This window comes from Homo sapiens, chromosome 11 (genome assembly GCF_000001405.40).
Source record: "Homo sapiens chromosome 11, GRCh38.p14 Primary Assembly".
NCBI lineage: Eukaryota > Metazoa > Chordata > Mammalia > Primates > Hominidae > Homo > Homo sapiens.
In genome coordinates this window covers 66,049,669-66,069,663 of record NC_000011.10, presented here as the reverse complement: position 1 = coordinate 66,069,663, position 19,995 = coordinate 66,049,669, and the positions used below count along the sequence as shown (strand labels likewise).

Sequence of the window (19,995 nt, the reverse complement as noted above, 5' to 3'; positions counted from 1 at the left end):
TGCCAGTGCTTTGTTGCTTACCAAATTTCTAAAATTCCATTCCTCCTAAGGCCTAGCTCAGCTGCCACGTCCTATCTGGATCATGCCCCCCACAACCCCGAGACCATCTTGAACCCTCCGGCAAGTGAGCGCCTCCACTGGTGCACTTAAACACCAACAGTAGTACAACAGCAGCGCATGACTACCCTCCCCACAGGCTGGCAAATGCCCATGGGAGCCAGTGATCCAGCCTGCTCTAGTCTGTCAGAAAGGCTGCTCAGGACCAGATTACAACCTGGAGAAAGTAAGTCCCCCCATCCCACATACAAATCCCAAACCCCAGCGACTAGTGTTGCTTGAACCCAAGGGTTCATATGGACTCAAGACAATTTAGCTTTTGAGCTATGTTGTCGCACAGGTAAGGACTTGAACTTCTGGTCACAAGGTCAGTTGGGAAGGCCTGCCCTGGCCTACTTCCCAAGCCCACTGTTACTTCCTCTGCCGCGCTAGGGCGCTAATCTGGCTATTTTTACTCCCCAAGGACAAAGTAGTAAGGTCAAACCAGACCTAGAGGTACTTCCCCCAAGCCTTCCTACAAAGCAGGGCAGTGGTGAAACACAGATTTCAGCCTGGGGTTGGCGTCACCACCAGTCAAATGCGCCGTCTAATCCCAGTTTATGTTCGTGGTTACTGGGGCAGCCCAGTGATTGTAGAAAGAGACTATTTTAGTCCTTTTGCAAGAAGGGGCTAAAAGGAGATGAGGGAGGCTCAGGAGTGTTAAATATTCATCTCTTTCCTTGGGAAACAGCTTTATTTACAAAACAGGTCTAAAATAAGAACATGAAATGACAAGTCCTTGGGAACTGCGGGAGAGGTGGTTCTTGTGTGAAGCCCAGGCATCCAGACGTAGGGCCAAAAAAAGGGCTAGTGTGAGGGGACCTAAAACTTGAACTCCTTATATTTCTTGCTGCCCCCACGGCTGTCCTGGGGCTGAGCTTTCCGTTTTTTTTGCTGTATAGGGAGAAAGAGACACAGGTTAAGACAGGTTGAACCACCCCCGGACCCCCAAAACAAGGGTGGGCAGCCTGACATAGACATAGAAGTCTGTGGGAAAGGCGCTGAATCTGAATTCTCTTCGAGCTCCCTCTCAGACTTGGCTGAGTTCCTCCCCCTCATCGTCCTTAAAGAGGGCAGCCCACTGGAGGATTTCTAAGACTTCCAAATCTAAGGAAGCACAGAGCAGCAAGCAGAGGCCACCCTCACTCTCACCACTAGAGGGCACCATGCCACTGAAAACGGCAGGCCAGGGTCCCTGGCTCTCACCCAGCCCAGCGCCCCTGGAAGCGCCTACCTTCTGTTTGGCAGCGTGCTCAGCCACCATGTCACTGAAGTCCTCCTTCTCTACTTGAGCCTGCTGCTCCCGCACATGCTCCTCATACTTCTGGGTCATGGCCATAGGATCCAGCTCCAACTCTTCAGGCGCCAGCGCCACTTCCACACCTTGCAGCTCAGGAGCCGGGCCCTTCCGGCTCATAACCTGGAAAGGAGATCAGGGCCTGGTCATCTCCAAAGAGTCAGAGAAGCCCTAGCTTCTGCTGCCTTTCTCAGCCTCCAAAAGCAGTATCCTCCAAGTACTCACCGTGGACATGTCATAAATGTGGGTTGATCCCATCATGGCCCCTCCAACAGTGGCTGTTCTCTTCTCTGGCAACACAGTGAAGAGCTGAGGTGTCTCACTTCTGCGAAGGACAATGGGATCAGGCCCAAAAAGCAAGGGACAAAAGGGTCTCCAGAAGCGGAAACAAAAGATACAGGTGGCACCTCCACTCAGCGCCTTGGAGAGCTTCTGAGCTCCCCAAGGATGCAGCCTCTGCAGTTCTGCCCATGACAGAAAAGAATTGGGCGGGGGGGTGGCACAGTGCTGACTCCAGGGAACACAGATGGAGCTAAGGGGCCCCCTGAATCAAGTCAAGGGATCACAGACCAGGACTCCCACATGCACATAAGGGTCAAAAGGTCAGAGAGGCTCAAAGTTTCCAAAAGAACTTTGGTACAGAGAAGCTGGCAAGATAGAGCAGGCGACAACAGTTCCCACCCGAAGAATGTCATGCCTGGAGTTCTCATGTATGTAATTCACACTTCCAGGCCTTCCAACGCAAGAGCCATCCACAGCCAGTTTCACCACTAATTTCAAGGATTACACTAGGAACAAGAGCAAATCTACCACTATCACCCCAGACTATGCCCATCATCTCCACCTCTCCCGCTGGAAGAGGTGACAATCTATTGTCCACACAGGAGCCAGAGAAAATACCTTAAAACGGATGTCGGGTCCTGTCAGACCTTTGCTCAAAACCCTCTGAGGCTTCTGATCATTATCTGAATAAAATCCAAACTCCTTACCATGACCTAAAGGGTTCATAGCCTGGTCCCTTACCCAAGCCCTCCTCACTATACTCTGTCCACAGTACCCTTCTTTATTTTTCTTCCTTGAATATGCAAAGCTTGAGACTTCTGCTTCCTGACAAGGAGCAAGAGGAACCAGATACACCCTCCTGCCTGAAACAACCAAAAAAAATGGGCAAAATATATGAAACAGTGGTTTTCAAGACACTACACATGGGGCAACAAAGCACAGTGATTCCTGCGAGACAGGAAACAAATGTGATGAGCCCTTCAACTGCCCCAGCATACCACACCTGAGAGTTTGCAGGCCACAGAACAGAGGGGAGACTCATGGAGAGCCCTGAGGACTCCGTGAGTTGGGAGGATGAAACTGAAAGTCCAGGGAGATCAAGGCAGCTAGAGTTCACAGGATAGAGTACTGGAGAAAAGAGCAGAGAGAGAACTCGAGACCTACAGAAGGTCCTCAAGTATGCAGGGGAGTACTAAGCAGCACATGCCTACCAAGGACAGGGAAAGAAGCACCCAAAAGGATTCATAACAGCAACTGCTGCTCACTCAGAACTGGGAATAGAGTAACTCCCACTAGCCAGCCGGAAAAACCTCCTGATTCACAGGGTGGTGGGTAGAGTACACAGGTACTTGTGCCTCACAATGGGGAGGACTGCTTCAGTCCTGCCTCAAGAACCCCAAAACAAGACCTGAAAGGATCAAACTATCTCCATATAACTATATTCCCGAATGAGCTGAAGAAAATGTACAGGAATACAAAAATATCTTGGACCCAACAAGGTAAATTTCACAAAGCCTAGCATTCAATAAAAAATTACCAGGCACTGGACAGGCCTGATGGCTCACACCTGTAATCCCAGCACTTTGGGAAGCTGAGGCAGGATGATTGCTTGAGCCCAGAAGTTCAAGACCAGCCTGGGCAACACAGTGAGAACCTCTCTCAAAAAAAGAAAGGAAAAGAAAAAAAAATTACCAGGCGTGCAAAAGAGTAGGAAAATACAATCCATAATGAGGAAAATGAATCAACTAATGGCAGTCAACCCAGAAATGGCACAGATGTTAGAGTTAGCAGACAATACATTAAAATGTTGTTATAGCCAGGTGTGGTGGCTCATGCCTGTAATCCCAGCACTTTGGGAGGCCGAGGCAGGCAGATCACCTGAGGTTAGGAGTTCAAGAACAGCCTGGTCAACATGGTAAAACCCTGTCTCTACTAAAAATACAAAAAAATTAGCTGGGTGGGGTGGCGCACGCCTATAGTCCCAGCTACTTGGGAGGCTGCGGCACAAGAATTGCTGGAACCTGGGTGGCAGAGGTTGCAGTAAGCCGAGATCACGCCACTGCACTCCAGCCTAGGCAACAGGGCAAGACTCCGTCATAAAATAAAATAAAATAACATAAAAATAAAATATTGTTATAACTGCATTCCACATGTTCAAAAAGTTAAGAGAGAAAGAATAGATTTAAAAGACCCGAAATCAAACTTCTAGAAAGGAGAATTATATTGTATGGGATTACTGTTAGATCAGAAATTACAGAAGAAAATAATAGTAAACTTGAACATATAGCAATAGAAATTTTCTAAAGTGAAATACAAAGAGAGAAGAATTTCTTTAAAAATGAAGAGCATCAGTGAGCTCTTCATTTATTTTTTCATTTATTATTTCATTAATAGAGGAATAATTTGAGTTCCCAAAGGAAAGAGAAGGGAACAGAGAAAATATCTGCAGAAATCATGACAAAATTTTCCCCAAATTAATAAAAACTAAAAACCCAGATCTAAGATGCTTAAAAAACCCCAAGCAAAGAAACATTCAGAAACTACACCAAGGCACATTGTAGTCAAATTGTTAGAACTAGTGATAAAATCTTAAAAACAGCCAAATAAAAATGACACATTATGTACACAGGAACAAAGGTAAGAATGACAGCAGTTTTCTCACTAGAAACAATGCAAGAAAGAAGACACTGGAGCAACATCTTAAAAGTACTGAAAGAAGGCTGATGCGGTCACTCACACATGTAATCCCAACAAGCTGGGAGGCCAAGGCAGGCGGATCACTTGAAGCCAGGAGCTCGAGACCAGCCTGGCCAACATGGCAAAACCCCATCCCTACTAAAAATATAAAAATTAGCTGGGTGTGATGGTATGCACATGTAATCTCAGCTACTCGGGAGGCTGAAACAGGAGAATCGCTTGAACCCAGGAGGTGGAGGTTATAGTGAGCCAAGATCACACCACTACACTCCAGCCTGGGCGACATAGCAAGATTCCATCTCAAAGAAGAAAAAAAAAAGTGTTGAAAGAAAAAAGATTGTCAACCTAGAATCCTAAACCTGGCAAAGATCTTTCAAAAATGAAGGCCAAATAAAGAATTTTTAAGACTACTCAAGCAGAACAAATTCAAAACCAGCAGACCCACAATACAAGAAATGTTTTTTTAATATTTTGTAGAAATGGGGTCTCACTATGTTGCCCAGGCTGGTCTCAAATTCCTGGAATCTAGCAATCCTACCACCTCAGCCTTCTCCCAAAGTACTGAGAGTACTGAGATTACAGGCTTAAGCCACCACGCCCCCTAACTTAAGAAATGTTAAAGGAAGCCCTTCAGGCAGAGGAAAAATGATATCAGATAGAAACCTGGATATACACAAAGAAATGAAAGAAACAAAAATGGTAACTACATGGCTTCATGCATGATTCTTATTTAAACCTCCCTAAAAGATAACTGACCATTTAAACAAAAATAATAACTATATAGTATAGGATTTATAACATATGTAAAAGTGAATATATGACAATATAGTGCAAAAATTGGGAGGAGAGAAATGAAGTATACTATAATGGCTCTTAATACTATCTGGAAGCAGTGTAACATCAAGAGAAGGTAGATCCTGATAAAGACATGATCTATAAACCCCAGAGCAACAACTAAAATAACAAAGCAAAAACTTAACAGCTAATTAACCAACACTGGAGATAAAATGAAATCATAAAAATTGTTCAAGTAATCCAAAAGAAGGTAGAAAAACAGGAAAAAGGGAACAAAGAGCAGAATGGATAAAGAGAGGGTCATTTCATGATAAAGGGGTCAATTCATGAAGACCTAACAACACTACACATTCAACTACCTAAAAATGGAGCTTCAAAATACTAGCCCATCCCTGTCTCAGTGCCTTTGCACTTGCTTGCATTTACTGTTACTTCTGACCCAGATGATCCTGTGGCTGGCGCTTTTTCATTCGGGTCTTAGTTCAAGCACCACCTCCCCAGTGAGGCCTTCCCAAAGGCCTCCCTGCCACCCCATCCCATTACCCAGTTTCCTCTGCTTCAACATCCTTATCTACATCTGAAAGTATCTTGTTCTCTGATTACCAGTTTACCTCAACTGCTGACTCCTCACTGCCTACAGTAGTGCCTGGCAGAGAGTTGGTTCAATAATTGTTTAAAAAAGGATGAGGGAGAAAGGAACAACAGTCAGCCAGCCAGCCAAAGGGAAGTGAAGGTCCTCCCCTCTCAGCCCTGTCTGGTACCCTTACCCGTCCATCGCCTCCTCAATCTTCTTCTTCCTCAGCTCAATGAGTTCAGGGGTCTCCATTCCAGCAGGCACTGATGAAAAGCCTCCAGGAGTGATAAGGCCACTGTAAAGAGAGGAACAAGCTCTGGAGTAAAGAGAAGGACCCCAAAGATAGCCCACTTCCAAGAGGCATTCTCTGCTTCCCCCACCTGTCTGCAGGGGTAATAAAGCCTGTCTCATCTGGTTTGTCTTCATCACTTTCTTCCTCTTCCTCTTCTTCTGAGGATTCTTCATCAGATGGTTCCAGTTCCCCCCAAGGGGTCCGATCAATCTCTTCTTCCTCAGTCTTGGTCTGAAAGAGATCACTTTATCATTCAACAAATGTTTTCTAAGTACCTATTATGTGCCAGGCTGTTTTAAGCTGAAGGGGTGTAAGAGTCAAAACACAATAATCCCTACCTACCTAGAGCTCAAATTCTAGTGAGGAGCTTACATTAACATCTCAGGAAAATGTATGCCCTTTTCCAGGCTCTGCTGTGTCAGAACACACAACTCCCTGATAATGAAGCTATAAACCAACAATCTAACCTTCATGACATTAAGTAAAACCAAGATCGCTAGTACATGGCCCATACCTGAAATTCAGCAGCATTGGTTCCAAACACGTCCCCATAGAGCGGTTTCCCAGTCTCATCCACTGGAGGTTTGCCCCAGCCACCAGCATGGTACCCAAAGGAACAGCTCTGCAAGACAGTGAGCACAATCAGTTCACTCCTTAGCTGCAAAAGAAATTCTGAAGCCCTAGAGAAAAGGCACACTCAAAAGTACAGAGCTGATACTTGGGAACTCCGGAAATTATGACTGCAGAATTAAATCAAATGTTATGAAGCATTAGAAACCAAAATTAATAAACAACTAAAATCTGGAGGCAACAGGATAAGGAGACAGGAGGCAGAAAGTATGCTAATAACTTCTGTCATGGCAGAGTCTTTACTGTCTGAAACCAAAATACGTACATTGAAAACATGACTTCAATTTCTTATTGAGTTTTCCTAACTTTGGAAAGCTAGCTTGTTCAGAATCTATTTATCTTAAGGGGCAGAAATTTCTATCTAAAATTTAACAATACTACTGTTTTACTTTAATGACTCATCAATTTTTTTAATGCTTATTTTAAAATAAGAAATTTGAAGACATTCTTGAGATAAAATTATTTCTGAGAGACTGAAGTGAAGCTAAAAAAAAATTATTTCTTTTTTCTTTTTTTTTTTTTTTAAAGTAGAGGTGCGGTTTCACTATGTTGCCCAGGCTAGTCTTAAACCCCTGGCCCCAAGGGATCCTCCCACCTCAGCCTCCCAAAGTGCTGGGATTACAGGTGTTGAGACACCACATCTGGCTGAGATAAAATTATTTCTCTCTGGTCATTCTTAATATTCAGAGACATATCTGGAAACACATTCACCAAACAGTGAATTTGGCTATTTCTGAGTGGTAAAATTGTGACTTGCTTTCATCTTTGTACTTGTCAATTCTGACTGAATATTTTATGATGAGCATGTCAGTTTCTTTAAAAAACAAAAACCATTATTTGTTTTTCTACACATACACATGGTATATGACAAATATTATGTCAATAAAATATTTTTTAAGTAAATAAAGAGACACATGGTGGAGTTAGAGAAGGAAAACAAACAAATTACCTTCCAGTTCAAAAGCAGAAATGGCCAAGAATGAACGAAAGGACAATGCTCACCTCAGGGATGGGCGAGTTCAGCCCAGGGATTTTCAGGTTGGGATACGATGGGGGTGGTCCATATCGCTGCATGGCAATCAGCCATGGGGGAGGGACCTTGTGGGCATTCTGCAGGAAAAAGAGAACAGGATACCATCTGCCAAACCCTATCCCTGTCTCTGCCTTCCACTCCAATCCCCACCAGCCTCTTCGCTGCTTCCCCAGACAGCTAACTGACACTCACTGGTCCTACTGGCATCCCCAAGGAAATCCTTAGCTCATCAGACAGATCTCCTGGCTTCTTCTCCTTCAGTCGTGTCTCGAACTCCTTCCCCTGAGGGAAAAGCAGAGCATGCTACATTGTAGACCCAGACACTCAGTGGGAGCACAATCCTAACGCACATCAGATATAAAATCCCAGTGAGGGCTACCTGGCTCCCACTCTGATTCTCATCACTTCTTTCCCTGGCCAAAGTCGGGGAAGGAATAAAAACCAGGCCAGACTCACAGTGCTGTCAATAACCCACTATGAGAACACGGCCAACGTTAGGACCTGCCTCCTCATCTGTAAAATGAGGGCACTCGACAGGAAGATATGCAAAATTCTTCCACCTCATAAATTCCATGACATCATGGTGACTACGATTTCAAGGATCAGAAAAAACCAGCAATTTCTCTACCACTCCCAATATTAAAAGTTTCCTAAAAGCATCTGCCCCTTGGCCCCTCCATCCCTAAACCACCTACCACAAACTATTATCATTTCTAAGACAGGATACGAAGAGTCTATCAGGGAAAGAAGCCACCAGATCTGCATCTCTCCTCCAAATAGAGCCTCATTTTTAAATTCCATCTCATCCGAGGGTAGTCGATGGGCAATTCTAAGGCTGAGGAACTATCGTAGTTGCTTCAAAAGCCCTCCTTGGCCAGGTGCGGTGGTTCATGCCTATAAACCCAGCACTTTGGGAGGCTGAGGCGGGTGGATCACTTGAGCTCAGGAGTTCCACACTAGCCTGGGCAACATAGCGAAACCCTGTCTCTACCAAAGATACAAAAAATTAGCCAGGTGTGGTGTGCCTGTGGTCCCAGCTACTCAGGAGGCTGAGATGGGAGGACTGCTTGAGCCCCCAAGGCAGAGGTTACAGTGAGCCGAGATCCCACCACTGCACTCCAGCCTGGATAACAGGGTGAGACTCCATCTTTTTTAAACAAACAAACAAACAAAAAAAAGCCCTAGACAGTCTCAACCCCAAGGCCCAGCCTGACCTCTCCCAGCCCCCTCCCGAACCTCATAGTACAGGTCCCCATGGATGGTCAGCTTTGGCTTGGTCTGCCACTTGAAGAAGGCATCATGCAGTTTCTGGTAGTCGATGTCAATTTTGCCCATCTTAGGCCGAACTTTCTCTCGCATTTTTGACTTCATGGTCTTCTGTTCTTCCTGTGGAGAATGGCAGCAAACAAGCCTTAACAAGTACTCACCAAATTCATGTAGAGAATCCAGCTCCCAACTCCAAATGAGATCATGGGAAGCCTCAATTATCTCACCCTGAAAGTCATCAAAATCCTTCCTGCTAAAACCTTTCAAAATTACATAATCCATACTGAACAAAACAGACTATACAATATCAGCCTCAGCCGTGTATATCAATAACTAGTTTTTAAACCATCTCATCAAGAGATGAATCTCAACAGTTCTCTGGAAAGCAGAGACTTCCCCATGTTCTTTTCTACCTCCTGAATTCAAAGCATTTAACTAAAAGCTTTAAAATTAAGAAGTTACACAACCACCACGAATCTCTAGCCACAAAGTACATCTGAGAAAGGAGTCACCAGGTGAGCTGGCAAAGTGAAGGCAGAGGGGAGGAAGAGCAGAGGAGGAAAACAAAAGGATAATTAGACAAGTAACAAGTAGGTGGTAGGTGGGTTTCAAACCAGATTCCCATTTTGAAGCACACTGCTATGAAGGATGGGGACACCCGGGGGCAGGTCTGAGCCCTGCCAGGCCCTCACCTTCTCCTGCAGGGCCTCTCGCATCTCCTGGATGCCTGTGCGTTTGATGAAGTCTGGCAGCTCGAAGGGGGGCTTCTCAATGCCCCGTTTGCCCTGCAGGTATTTGCGCTTAAAACACCAGTGGCGTGGCACAGGCACAGAGTTCCGAGTGGCCTTGAGGTGAACCAAGAGCTTAGGGTCCTGCGCTGTCACATCGTGCATCTCCACGACATCGGGCCGAGCCACCAGCTGGAAAACACATAGTAATGCGTGTTCTCGAGAGCCCCGACTTCTCAGTTCTGAAGCTCTTCTTCCTCAAAGGACCCAAACCCAAATCACCCACACCTCCTTCAAAGAACTCCTTTTCACCTCCCTGGCTCCCCAGGTGGTCTCCCAGCTGGGCTCCAGGGCCTGCAGGATCCTCTCAGGTCTTACCTGCTTGAGTTCAGCCACAGTGAAGCGGTTCATTCGGCGCAACTTCTTCTTGGACAGCTTGGGGGCTTCTGGCTTCTTTTCCTAGAACAGAACAATCAGCCCTTTTAAGCAGGACTCAGATGTGAATGAAACTGCCCAACCCACCCCAACCTTAAGCCACCAAAGCTCTGTAAGAGTTCACCATGGTCCCTCTCTGGATGCATCTCAGCCACCTGTGCCCAGAGTCCCTGCTTCCCACCAGGAGGGCTGGGCCTGACCTGCTCGTCATCACTGCTGTCATCATCACTGTCCTTGTGCTCCTCTTCAAATCCCTTCTTCTTGGGGGCTGCAGAGTTCTCCAGTTTGTCAAGTTTCTCTGGCTCCTTCTCTTTCTCCTTCTTCACATCATCAGTGAGCTAAGGAGGCAGACAAGGTGAAACCCCTGCCCTCTGAGCCCCTTCCCAGTTCCTAAGGCCAGCACTAAAAGATGCCTGTTCACCGCTGCCTCTCACCCACCTCTGAGCCCCTTCCCTGTTTGGCACTGCCCCTTCCTAGTGTGCTCTCCTTGTACCTTAAAAGCCTCAAAGATCCTCTTAAAGAAGATAAAGTTGGGCTCGTAAATTTCAGGTTCTTCAGTCACATACTCAATCTCAACATCAGCTGCTGGGGAATCAGAGCCACGGGACCGGGTTGAGTCTTTCTCCCGGTCCCCAGAGCTCTCAGAGGACACCCCTCGCACCCGCTGGGGCTTTTTCTTCTTCTTTCGGTTCCTACGCTTCCGGTTTTTCTGTCAAGAGGAGGAAAACCAGCTGGGTCAGGGAATCCAAGCACTGTGCCAGCACCCCAACCCCTAAACTCCTCCCCCATTCTCCCCCACAGTTCAACAGTCAGGCTTTTCCCAAGGAGGCCATCTCATGAAGTAGCTGCGAAGGGGCCTTGGAGTCAGACTCCAAAGTTCTGCCACTCACAAGCTGTATGCCTTTGGGTAAATTACTGTGCGTCTCAGAACCTCTGCTTTTTCAGCTGTAAAATGTAGGCACGTATAGTACTTGGAACTCAAAGCAATTAAATGAAAAATATCTATAAGATGCTGAGGGCGGAAATTGGCACAAAATAGAAGCTATTACTTACTGAACACTTACAAATTGTGTTATTTCCGTACCCAAGTCCCATCTCCTGGCTTTCCTTCCACACTCAGCTCCAATCCCTACCTCCTTTTTAGATACGGACACTGTGTCCTCCTCAGTCTCTGACGCTGACTGGCCCAGGGACGAGCGAGCATCTGTTTCCATTTCCTCTTCCTCTGTAAGGAAGAAGGTGGTGATGAGTCTTCACGGTGCCACTGCCCTGCACTCGTTCACAGTAACCTGCCTTTACCAAGAGCCAGGGAAAGGGACAGAGGGATGAGGACTCAGCTCAGCCTCTCCAGGTTCTGTGGCTACAGCATCAGAACGCCTGGCACTCACCCTGCTGAGAATTCATCTCTTCCTGGCGGCTCTCCTTCAGCTGCAGGATCTTCTCCAAAGCCTGGGGGATCTTGGGGCCCACAGAGGGGTCATCCATCTGCCAGAGACACCCAGTCAGAGAAGGCAAATCACAGTGCCCTTTTTCTTTTTTTTTTCTTTCTTTCTTTTTTTTTTTTTTGAGACGGAGTTTTGCTCTTGTTGCCCAGGCTGGAGTGCAATGGCGCGATCTCGGCCCACCACAACCTCCGCCTCCCAGGTTCAAGCAATTCTCCTGCCTCAGCCTCCCGAGTAGCTGGGATTACAGGCATGCACCACCACACCTGGCCAATTTTGTATTTTTAGTAGAGATGGGGTTTCTCCATGTTGAGGCTGGTCTAGAACTCCTGACCTCAGGTGATCCGCCCGCCTCGGCCTCCCAAAGTGCTGGGATTACAGGTGTGAGCCACCGCACCCAGCCCACAGTGCCCTTTTTCCACCAACTTCCACCTCTTGGACTAGAAAGGCTGCTGCCCAGGTGATGTAAGCAGCAGAGAGTGGGCAACACCAACTGGGCTCAGTGGGGTTTAGTGTTCCTCAGAGGGACCCCAAGACTCTGCCTCAGTAATGTCTCCCCAGTCCCTCTGCCATACCCTTAGTTTAAATAAGAAGGGCTCCCCACTACCCCCAGGAATTTAAGTCCCCCCATCTTCTCACAGAACCTTTCTCTAAAAATCCAAAAATAGTCCCATCCTAAACTACCACTCTCTTATCCCTAGGAATAAATCATCAGTCTCACCTCTCTGTTCTCATCTCCAGGGGGCGGTGGGGGACCACGAGGCCGGGGAACAGGGGCTCCCATGGGCAAAACTGTAGGAGTGGGGCCCACTGGGCCCACTGGAGCAGCTACTAAGAGACGGGAAAAAGAAATCCAATGTCAGAAGAGGCAAAACACTCACGTAAAAAATTACCTCTCTTGCTGAAAGGGTGATGGTAAACCTGCAGGGGAGGAGGGCACGTGGCGTGGCTTTTGGAATGCTGGTAATGTTTTGGATCATGGTCCAGGTGCTGGTTGTACAGGTGTGTTCAGTGTGTAAAAAACCATTAAACTATATATTTACTATATATGCCCTTTTTAAATGTGATAGATACCTTAAAAGTCTTTTTAAAAATGTCTAAATCACCTTCCTTGCCCTTCCCCTCGGTTCCAGGGTCTCACCTCGAGGACCCAGAGGAGTGCGCACACCAATCTGGCCCATGTCTTGTGGGGGCCGAGGGACTGGGGTGCCCATCTTGGCAATCTCCTGCTGTCGTTCCTGCTCCAGTAACACAGCTGCCTACGGGAGGGAAGTGGGAGTAGATACTGCCTGAAAACGCATTTGGCAGGCAGCCCCTGGCAAATGCATTCTTTCAGCCGGGTAATGGGCCCAAGGAGAACAATCACGAACCACTTGGGTGCTGACATCCCCTCCACCCCCACACTTCCAGGCTACTAATCCAAACGGAGGAGCCCTCTCATCACAACGGAAAATCCCTAGAAATAACACCAAGGAAAACCCCAGGAAACTTCTGGTTCCTAGCAGAGAATTTCATATTGAGCCAAACAGTGCCTTCTACTTTTCAGAGAGTTTTCTTCCCCAAAAGATTAAATTATACAGAAGAAACTTTTGAGCTCTTTTCTTATATCCACCCCTCAAGATCCAGCACAATCTGGGCAAAGACAGTACTTTACCCACAGGTCCAGACTTGTGGCTTTTTTTTTTTTTTTTTTTTTTGAGACAGAGTCTGGCTCTGTTGCCTAGGCTGGAGTACAGTGGCATGATCTCAGCTCACTGCAACCTCGGCCTCCCCAGCTCAAGCCATCCTCCCACCTCAGCCTCCCAAGTAGCTGGGACTACAGGCATGCGCCGCCACACCTGGCTAATTTTTGTATTTCTGAGAGACAGGGTTTCATTATGTTGGCCAGGCTGGTCTCGAACTCCTGAGCTCAAGCGATCCACCCACCTCAGCCTCCCAAAGTGCTAGGATTACAGGTGTGAGCCACGGCACCCAGCTCATACTTGTTGCTTTTTAACACTTACTTTTTAATACTCCTGAGTAACCCACTGGGTAATGACTGATGCAATGCACCTCTGGGGCCAAACATCTTATATAACATTCCCAGACTTACAGTCCTATTCTGTCTAAATCCAATACAAATAACTCAATTACCCAGAGTCCTATCTAGAATGATGTCATGTAAGGCGAGCAGAGGTCAGCAGGCTCTTTTTATAATAGGTCAGAAGGTAAATATTTTAGGCTTTATGGGTTGCTGTACAGACTCTGGTACATATTTTTGGTTTGGGTTTTCTTATAACCCTTAAAAAATTTTAAAGTTATTTTTAGCTCATAGGCCATACACATGCAGGCCACAGGTCATAGTTTGTCAATTCCTGAACTTCAAGAAAAATTGAAAGCTTTGGAAGATACTAGAACTTAGTTGAGAACAAAGTAGCCTCCAGGGAAAACTTGAATGGTGCACTCTAAGCACTATAAATGACAGCCAACTGACTGGACCACGAGGTCAAAGGTTAGGGGGAGGGGTATTACCCGCTTCTGCTGCTCCAAGAGCTCATGTTCCTTCAGCGAATGATCTCCCTGCTTAAAAAAGAAAACAAGTTCATACCAGCACCAATACCCAACACGCCAATCTGCCACAACTCTTGCTTCTTGAGATCCTCTTCCAGTCAAGGGCCCATGTTCCAATCTTTAGTCCCGACCTTCCCAGAAGCCTTAGTTCTAGGACCCAGCTTTCTCTAAGGCTCCACTGCCCCTTCAGGGACCTAATGAGTCCAAGGCCAGGGCTGCCACCTGCCCTACCTGCTTGGCACGCTCCTCCTGCTGCATCAGCAATGCCGCCTGCTGCTGAGCCAACTTCAGCCGCTCCTCCTCTGACAGTGCCACTGGCTCACCCACACGGAGAGGAGGCGGGGGCCCCAAATTTGGTGGGTGGGCCATAGGAAAGCCAAGGCCAAGGCCTGGTGGAGGTGGTGGGGGTGGCGGAGGAGGCTGCAGAGGGGGGAGTCCCAAAGGTGGTGGTGGCATGGGAATTCCAGGGAGCTGTGGAGAAAATATGATCATAAAACTAGGAAGCATTTATCTACTCATTCTGCAAATATCTGGGGGATCTACTTTGAGTCAGGAGCTGGAATTCTAAGTCAAATGATACATAGTTACCACTCCATAAGAGAGAATGCTCCACAGCTCTATAAAGATATGAGAATGTTAACTTCTGGCACCAACCAAAGGAAGCTATCCACTCTCTCCAAAAAGATATCCTGAATATAGATTCTGCATACAATTCTAGGAGACTCAAAGACGCCTCTGAGGCCATCTAGGGACTCCTCATCCTACACACAGAGATCAGTAGATGCCAGGTCAGAGCCACTGCTTTAGAGAAAATGAGGCAAATCCTGGATCAGAAGGAACATGGAAATTGAGAGGACTTACATAAACAGGAACCACTGTATCTGGGCAATGCAAACCCCAATGACTACTAAACGCAAGGGGTGTGAAATCAAATCAGGGAGCCCTCGATGTCACACAAAAGAACATGGGAACTGTGCCTGGGGCAGGCAAAGAAAAGGGTGATTGCTTCCAGCTGGGTAAGGACAAGTCAGTCTTCCTTGTATTCAAGCTGTATTTTTTTTTTTTTTTTGAGACAAGAGTCTCGCTCTGTCACCCAGGCTGGAGTGCAATGGCGCAATCTCAGCTCACTGCAACCTCCGCTTTCCAGGTTCAAGCAATTCTCGTGCCTCAGCCTCCCAAGTAGCTGGGATTACAGGCACCTGCCACCATGCCCGGCTAATTTTTATATTTTTAGTAGAGACAAGGTTTCACCATGTTGGCCAGGTTGGTCTTGAACTCGTGACCTCAAGTGATCGCCCACCTCAGCCTCCCAAAGTGCTGGGATTACAGGCATGAGCCACCATGCCCTGCCTCTTTTTTTTTTTTTTGAGACAGTCTCGCTCTATTGCCCAGGCTGGAGTGCAGGGGCTTGATCTTGGCTCACTGCACCGTCCACCTCCAGGGTTCAAGTGATTCTCCTGCCTCAGCCTCCCAAGTAGCTGGGATTACAGACATGTGCTACCACGCCCAGCTAATTTTTGTATTTTTAGTAGAGAGAGTTTCGCCATGTTGGCCAGGCTAGTTTCAAACTCCTGACCGCAGGCGATCCACCTGCCTTGGCCTCTCAAAGTGCTGGGATTACAGACATGAGCCACCACGCCCTGCCTCTTTTTTTTTTTTCCTATTTTTTGGTTTAATTTTATTTTATTGTAAGTTTTCGGGTACATGTGCAGTATGCGCAGGTTTGTTACATAGGTAAATGTGTGCTATGGTGGTTTGCTGCACCTATCAACCCACTGCCTAAGTATTAAGCCTGGCATGCATTAGCTATTTTTTCTGACACTCTCCCAGCCCCTCCCCCATCACCTCCCCCCTTTTTTTTTTAAAGAAGCAAAGTCTCATTCTGTCACCCAGGATGGAGTACATGGAGTACAGTGGCGCAACCAGAGCTCACTGCAGCCTCCAACCCCAGGGCTCCAGCAATCCTTGAGCCTCTTTATAGGGACTTTATAGGCGCGTGCCACCGTGCCCAGCTAATTTTTAAAATTTTTTGTAGTAACAGAGTCTCACTATGTTGCCCAGGCTGGTCTCGAACTCCTGGCTTCAAGCGATCGTCCCATCTAAGCATCCCGAAGTGGTGGGATTACAGGCATGCGCCACTGCACCCGGCCACAAGCTGCTTTTGGAGAAGCAGACAGTGGAAAAGGAGGCAAGTGTCAGCATCAAAGAGAGAACTGAAGAGCTCACAATTCTGTCATGGCAGTACCTCCCTGCCCAACAACTGCAAGTGAGAGGAAGGGCTACCCTGAACATATGGAATCTTTTTTTTTCCCCACTCAGGTCAGGCGAGTAATGTGCAAGGGTGTCACATCTCACACATGCACGTGAACACCCAATCATCATGCTCATGAACTACAAAAGGATCAGCAGATGGAATCTTAAAAAACAGAAGAATCTCCCTACCTGTGCCGACATGGGAGGTGGAGCGGCTTTGTCCCCATCTTCCCCTCTCAAAACCGGCCGATTCAGCACGATGCCAGTCTGCAAAAGAGAAAGGACTCTAGGTCAGTCCAAAACTAGCTGTTTCACTAAACGACGTTCGCTCCCAATTCATTCAACAAAACGTACCCAGTGCCTGTCTGCCAGCGCTCTGGCTGGGCACTGAAGAGGACCAAGATGGATACAAGAAATTACAACTAAGCTGGCAAAGGCAAGAACAAGCTAAAAAGGGCAAGCCTCCGCCTTGCTGTGCCGAGATAAAGAAAGAATGAAGACCGAGCCGTGATGGGGTATATAAGGTCTCCTGGAGAAGCTCGGCCTATCCTGACGTCCCGCCGCCAACACCTACCTGGCGGGTGTAGCTCTGCAGCCGCTCCACCAGCTCCTCGCGATTACCTGCAGGGCAAAGTACACGATCAATGGGGCAGGCCAGCCCGGCCAGGTCAGGCCCCAGCGGCCTGCCTCCGCCCCTCGCACCCGAGTCTCCCGGGTAACCAGGCTCCGCTTCTCCGCAGGCCCGTAAAGGCCCCTCGACTTCCTGTGTTCCTCACCCTGGATCGGAGCTCCGATCTCTGCCAACTTGGCCTGAAGCTCCTGGGCAGCCCAGGCGCCATAGTGGCCTGGAGGTGGCGGCGGCGGCAGCTGCAATTCTGCTTTGGGAGGCTCGGGATGCTCCGTCGCCATCTTAGCCGCAGGAAGGCGCGCGACCAACCCGGAAGCTGGGGCCAGCCTCAGGGCCCACTTGCCGGAACTTCCGGTGGCGCCGTATGCCACGTCCTCTCTGGTTGGGAGGCGACGCGCACTCAGGCACACCCGCTGCCGTGCGCTGGGCGACGGGATTCGCCGCAGACGCACCTTTCTCTAGTGGCCCCTCGGCGGTCTGGTCGCGAGGCCTCCTGGGAGTTGTAGTGCGCAGGTCTCGGTCTCTGCGGGCCCTGCGCGCCGCTACGGCCCCGAAGGCCGGCGGCGGGCCGGAGGGCGGGGCTGCGAGGAGGGCTGGCACTTCCCCGAGGGAGTGTTTTCTGCGCCTCACCTGCGGGAGCGAAGGCTCTCAAGCTTTCCGGCCCGGCCCTCCGGTCAGATCCTCGAACGCTTACGCTCCCAGGGAGTCCCGAGAGACTCATTTCCCCGGCGGCCCCGCGTTGCGGGCGCCAAGCGGGAGGCTGGAGCCGATGCCTGGGATAAAACAGTGTCTGATTGTCTGCCCGCCCACCCCCGGCCCAGGCCCGGATGAATGGGCTGAAAGGGGATCCAAGCCGGGAGAGCAGCAGGCCTGCCCGGGCTGAGCTCCAGCTGCCGACCTGGGGGAAGGGCGACTCTAAAGCCCCCTTTTCCACCTTCCAGGCCGGCTCAAATGTCGTCTTCTCCACTAAGCCTCCTCCCGCTTTCCTTTCCTTTCTTAGAGCTCCCATAATACGTTCGAATCTCCACCGTTTGTTAAGTCTTTCTTGCCCTTTCTTCCTACCTCTATCCCAAAAATGTGAGCAGGGACTTGATCATTTTCAGTCTCGCATCGCCTGGCGTTCAAGAGGCGCCCAATAAATGATTACTGGAAAAAAAGGAACAATGTTTCTGGTGAAAGCATTTGTGTCTTTTTTAGTCTCAAAAATAAACTCAGGCCCTTTTCCCTCAGCCGCACCTGCACTGGGGGCCCCACCTTGCCTCCCACTCCCCACCCCAACTCCCCTTGGCCTTTGGAGACAGAGGCAGAGACTGGCAGGGATTCTTGCCTGCCTAGCATCCACCTCTCCCTGTCCCACACCATCAATTCAGTTTCTCTCCCCACCTCTGCCACTAGCTCTGCCCTCTCACCAACAGCTAGCCTGTGTGTGTTTTTTATGTGTGTTGAGAAAGGGAGTGGGGAGACTCAAGTGAAATGGTCTCATTTTCCCCCTACACATCCCCTTCAGATCTTTTCTCCAGCTCCATTTTGCCAACTGCCCCCAGTGGAGAAGAAGCTGGGAACAGGGAAAAAAAAAGAATGGGGCACCAGGTCGGGGGAAGGTGAGGTTTGGGAGAGACAGGGAAAAGGACTGGGTTGAGAAAGGTTGGCTCACATCCTAGCACTGGGTGGGAAGTCCTCTTCCTCCTACCCAAACCTTGACCTTTCCCCTTTCCATCAATATCACTATGGGAGGCTCCTGCAGCCACACTCCCAGAGGAGAAGCCAAACCCGGAAAGGACAGTAACGAAGACAGAAAAACAGCGCCCTTCCCTCCAGCTTGTCAGCCCACTCAGGCAGAACCTTTCTAGCCCAAAGGAAGGCTCTTCTGCTCCCTGTAACTGGAGAGCCCAGGGCAGGTCATCTGAGGCTGAGGGCCCCAAGGCATGTGTAGGTGCTAGGGAAGGGGGCGGGGTCTCTGAGGCAGGATAAACTAAAGGCTGATGGAGTCTCATTTTATTTATTTATTTTTTATTTATTTATTTATTTTTTTTTTTTTTTGAGACAGAGTCTCAGTTGCCCAGGCTGGAGTGCAGTGGCTCTATCTGCGCTCACTGCAAGCTCCGCCTCCTGGGTTCACGCCATTCTCCTGCCTCAGCCTCCCGAGTAGCTGCGACTACAGGCGCCCGCCACCACGCCCAGCTAATTTATTTGTATTTTTTTTAGTAGAGACGGGGTTTCACCGCGTTAGCCAGGATGGTCTCGATCTCCTGACCTCGTGATCCGCCCGCCTCAGCCTCCCAAAGTGCTGGGATTACAGGCGTGAGCCACTGCACCCGGCCTGGAGTCTCATTTTATAACAGCCCTGGGAAGGAGGCAAGGTCTCAAGATCCTCCTCCCCCACGATATTGTACACAGCGGAAGATTGATGGGCAGAGAAGGTGACATGCCCAAGAGGCCAAACTGGGGCCACCAGCAGTCCTTCTGACTCTGAGAGTCCCTATTTCCTCCTCCTCAACCATAACAAGGACCCTCACACTATTTCCTATGTGGGCCTAGAAGGGCGTATCCAGCCCCTTCCAGTCCCACCTTTGGGTGGCTACCCAGCTCCAGGATCCTTGCTTTACCAGGCCCAGAGCAAAATAGAAAGCAGGTGTGCAGGCCAGCCACAGAACTCAGTGTAGGGCTCTTGATGTCTGGCATGGCTTTGGGAGGTGCTGCTGCCCAGCTCCCAGGTGATGGGAGCTGAGGACTAAGAAGTTCACATGGAGCCTTCGTGTGTATTATCTCTGCTACCTCAGAACAGCTTCCCATTTTACAGCTGGAAGCAATAGGGCTTAGGGAGTTGCCTCTTGACTCTGGGATTTAAGAGCAAACCAGGATTGAACTTGGGTTCTTTGATGCCTGGTGGCAGGTGCCTAGGCAGGGGTCCCAGCCTCACTATAGCTCTGGTCAGGAGTGAGTGGGTCTGGAGTCCTAGTGAGGAAAAATGGGTGAGCAGCCAGAAGCTACATCAGA

At 48.7% G+C, this 19,995-nt stretch overlaps 1 protein-coding gene and 1 non-coding gene across 5 annotated transcripts, besides 6 other annotated features; both read right to left on the bottom strand.

The window, feature by feature from the left end:
* SF3B2 (splicing factor 3b subunit 2) lies at positions 356–17,300 on the bottom strand. Of its 4 annotated transcripts, none has more exons than NM_006842.3 (22): positions 17,147–17,300; positions 16,945–16,991; positions 16,560–16,637; positions 14,349–14,588; positions 14,079–14,129; positions 12,709–12,826; positions 12,289–12,398; positions 11,514–11,610; positions 11,259–11,350; positions 10,619–10,834; positions 10,326–10,463; positions 10,069–10,149; positions 9,655–9,882; positions 8,933–9,082; positions 7,889–7,978; positions 7,666–7,773; positions 6,548–6,655; positions 6,122–6,264; positions 5,935–6,036; positions 1,619–1,718; positions 1,331–1,516; positions 356–990 (listed from the first exon to the last, which is right to left on the bottom strand). In NM_006842.3, the coding sequence occupies exons 1-22, from the start codon at positions 17,277–17,279 to the stop codon at positions 919–921; spliced, it is 2,688 nt and encodes an 895-aa protein (NP_006833.2). In that variant the 5' UTR covers positions 17,280–17,300; the 3' UTR covers positions 356–918. The 4 variants fall into 4 exon arrangements, with proteins under 4 accessions (NP_006833.2, XP_005273783.1, XP_011543042.1 ...); XM_005273726.5 differs by having other exon boundaries at positions 12,289–12,395; XM_011544740.4 differs by having other exon boundaries at positions 14,079–14,126.
* Positions 1,240–1,289: a silencer, noted in NCBI's record as "silent region_3572". NCBI's record gives its function as "represses an Ori minimal core promoter by ATAC-STARR-seq in GM12878 lymphoblastoid cells {active_cell/tissue: GM12878}" and the evidence as "EXISTENCE:reporter gene assay evidence [ECO:0000049][PMID:35858748]".
* Positions 1,380–1,539: an enhancer, noted in NCBI's record as "active region_5029". NCBI's record gives its function as "activates an Ori minimal core promoter by ATAC-STARR-seq in GM12878 lymphoblastoid cells {active_cell/tissue: GM12878}" and the evidence as "EXISTENCE:reporter gene assay evidence [ECO:0000049][PMID:35858748]".
* Positions 16,436–16,520, bottom strand: SNORD13F (small nucleolar RNA, C/D box 13F). The gene has a single exon (NR_145738.1). It is a non-coding gene; the product is annotated as a small nucleolar RNA, C/D box 13F (small nucleolar RNA).
* Positions 17,093–17,262: an enhancer, noted in NCBI's record as "active region_5028". NCBI's record gives its function as "activates an Ori minimal core promoter by ATAC-STARR-seq in GM12878 lymphoblastoid cells {active_cell/tissue: GM12878}" and the evidence as "EXISTENCE:reporter gene assay evidence [ECO:0000049][PMID:35858748]".
* Positions 17,473–17,682: a silencer, noted in NCBI's record as "silent region_3571". NCBI's record gives its function as "represses an Ori minimal core promoter by ATAC-STARR-seq in GM12878 lymphoblastoid cells {active_cell/tissue: GM12878}" and the evidence as "EXISTENCE:reporter gene assay evidence [ECO:0000049][PMID:35858748]".
* Positions 17,751–18,302: an enhancer, noted in NCBI's record as "H3K27ac hESC enhancer chr11:65818833-65819384 (GRCh37/hg19 assembly coordinates)". NCBI's record gives its function as "activates a minimal SCP1, AML or CMV promoter by ChIP-STARR-seq in primed H9 embryonic stem cells {active_cell/tissue: H9 hESC(primed)}" and the evidence as "EXISTENCE:reporter gene assay evidence [ECO:0000049][PMID:30033119]".
* Positions 17,883–17,932: an enhancer, noted in NCBI's record as "active region_5027". NCBI's record gives its function as "activates an Ori minimal core promoter by ATAC-STARR-seq in GM12878 lymphoblastoid cells {active_cell/tissue: GM12878}" and the evidence as "EXISTENCE:reporter gene assay evidence [ECO:0000049][PMID:35858748]".

What these genes read in the sequence shown, in the direction of transcription:
- SF3B2 (NM_006842.3), bottom strand. Translation starts at nt 17,279, where the DNA reads ATGGCGACGGAGCATCCCGAGCCTCCCAAAGCAGAATTGCAGCTGCCG. An exon ending in GATCGGAGCTCCGATCCAGG is followed by an intron (nt 16,992 to 17,146) that starts GTGAGGAACACA and finishes TTTGCCCTGCAG; the next exon opens with GTAATCGCGAGGAGCTGGTG. An exon ending in TGGGGATGCCAGTAGGACCA is followed by an intron (nt 7,774 to 7,888) that starts GTGAGTGTCAGT and finishes TTTTTCCTGCAG; the next exon opens with AATGCCCACAAGGTCCCTCC.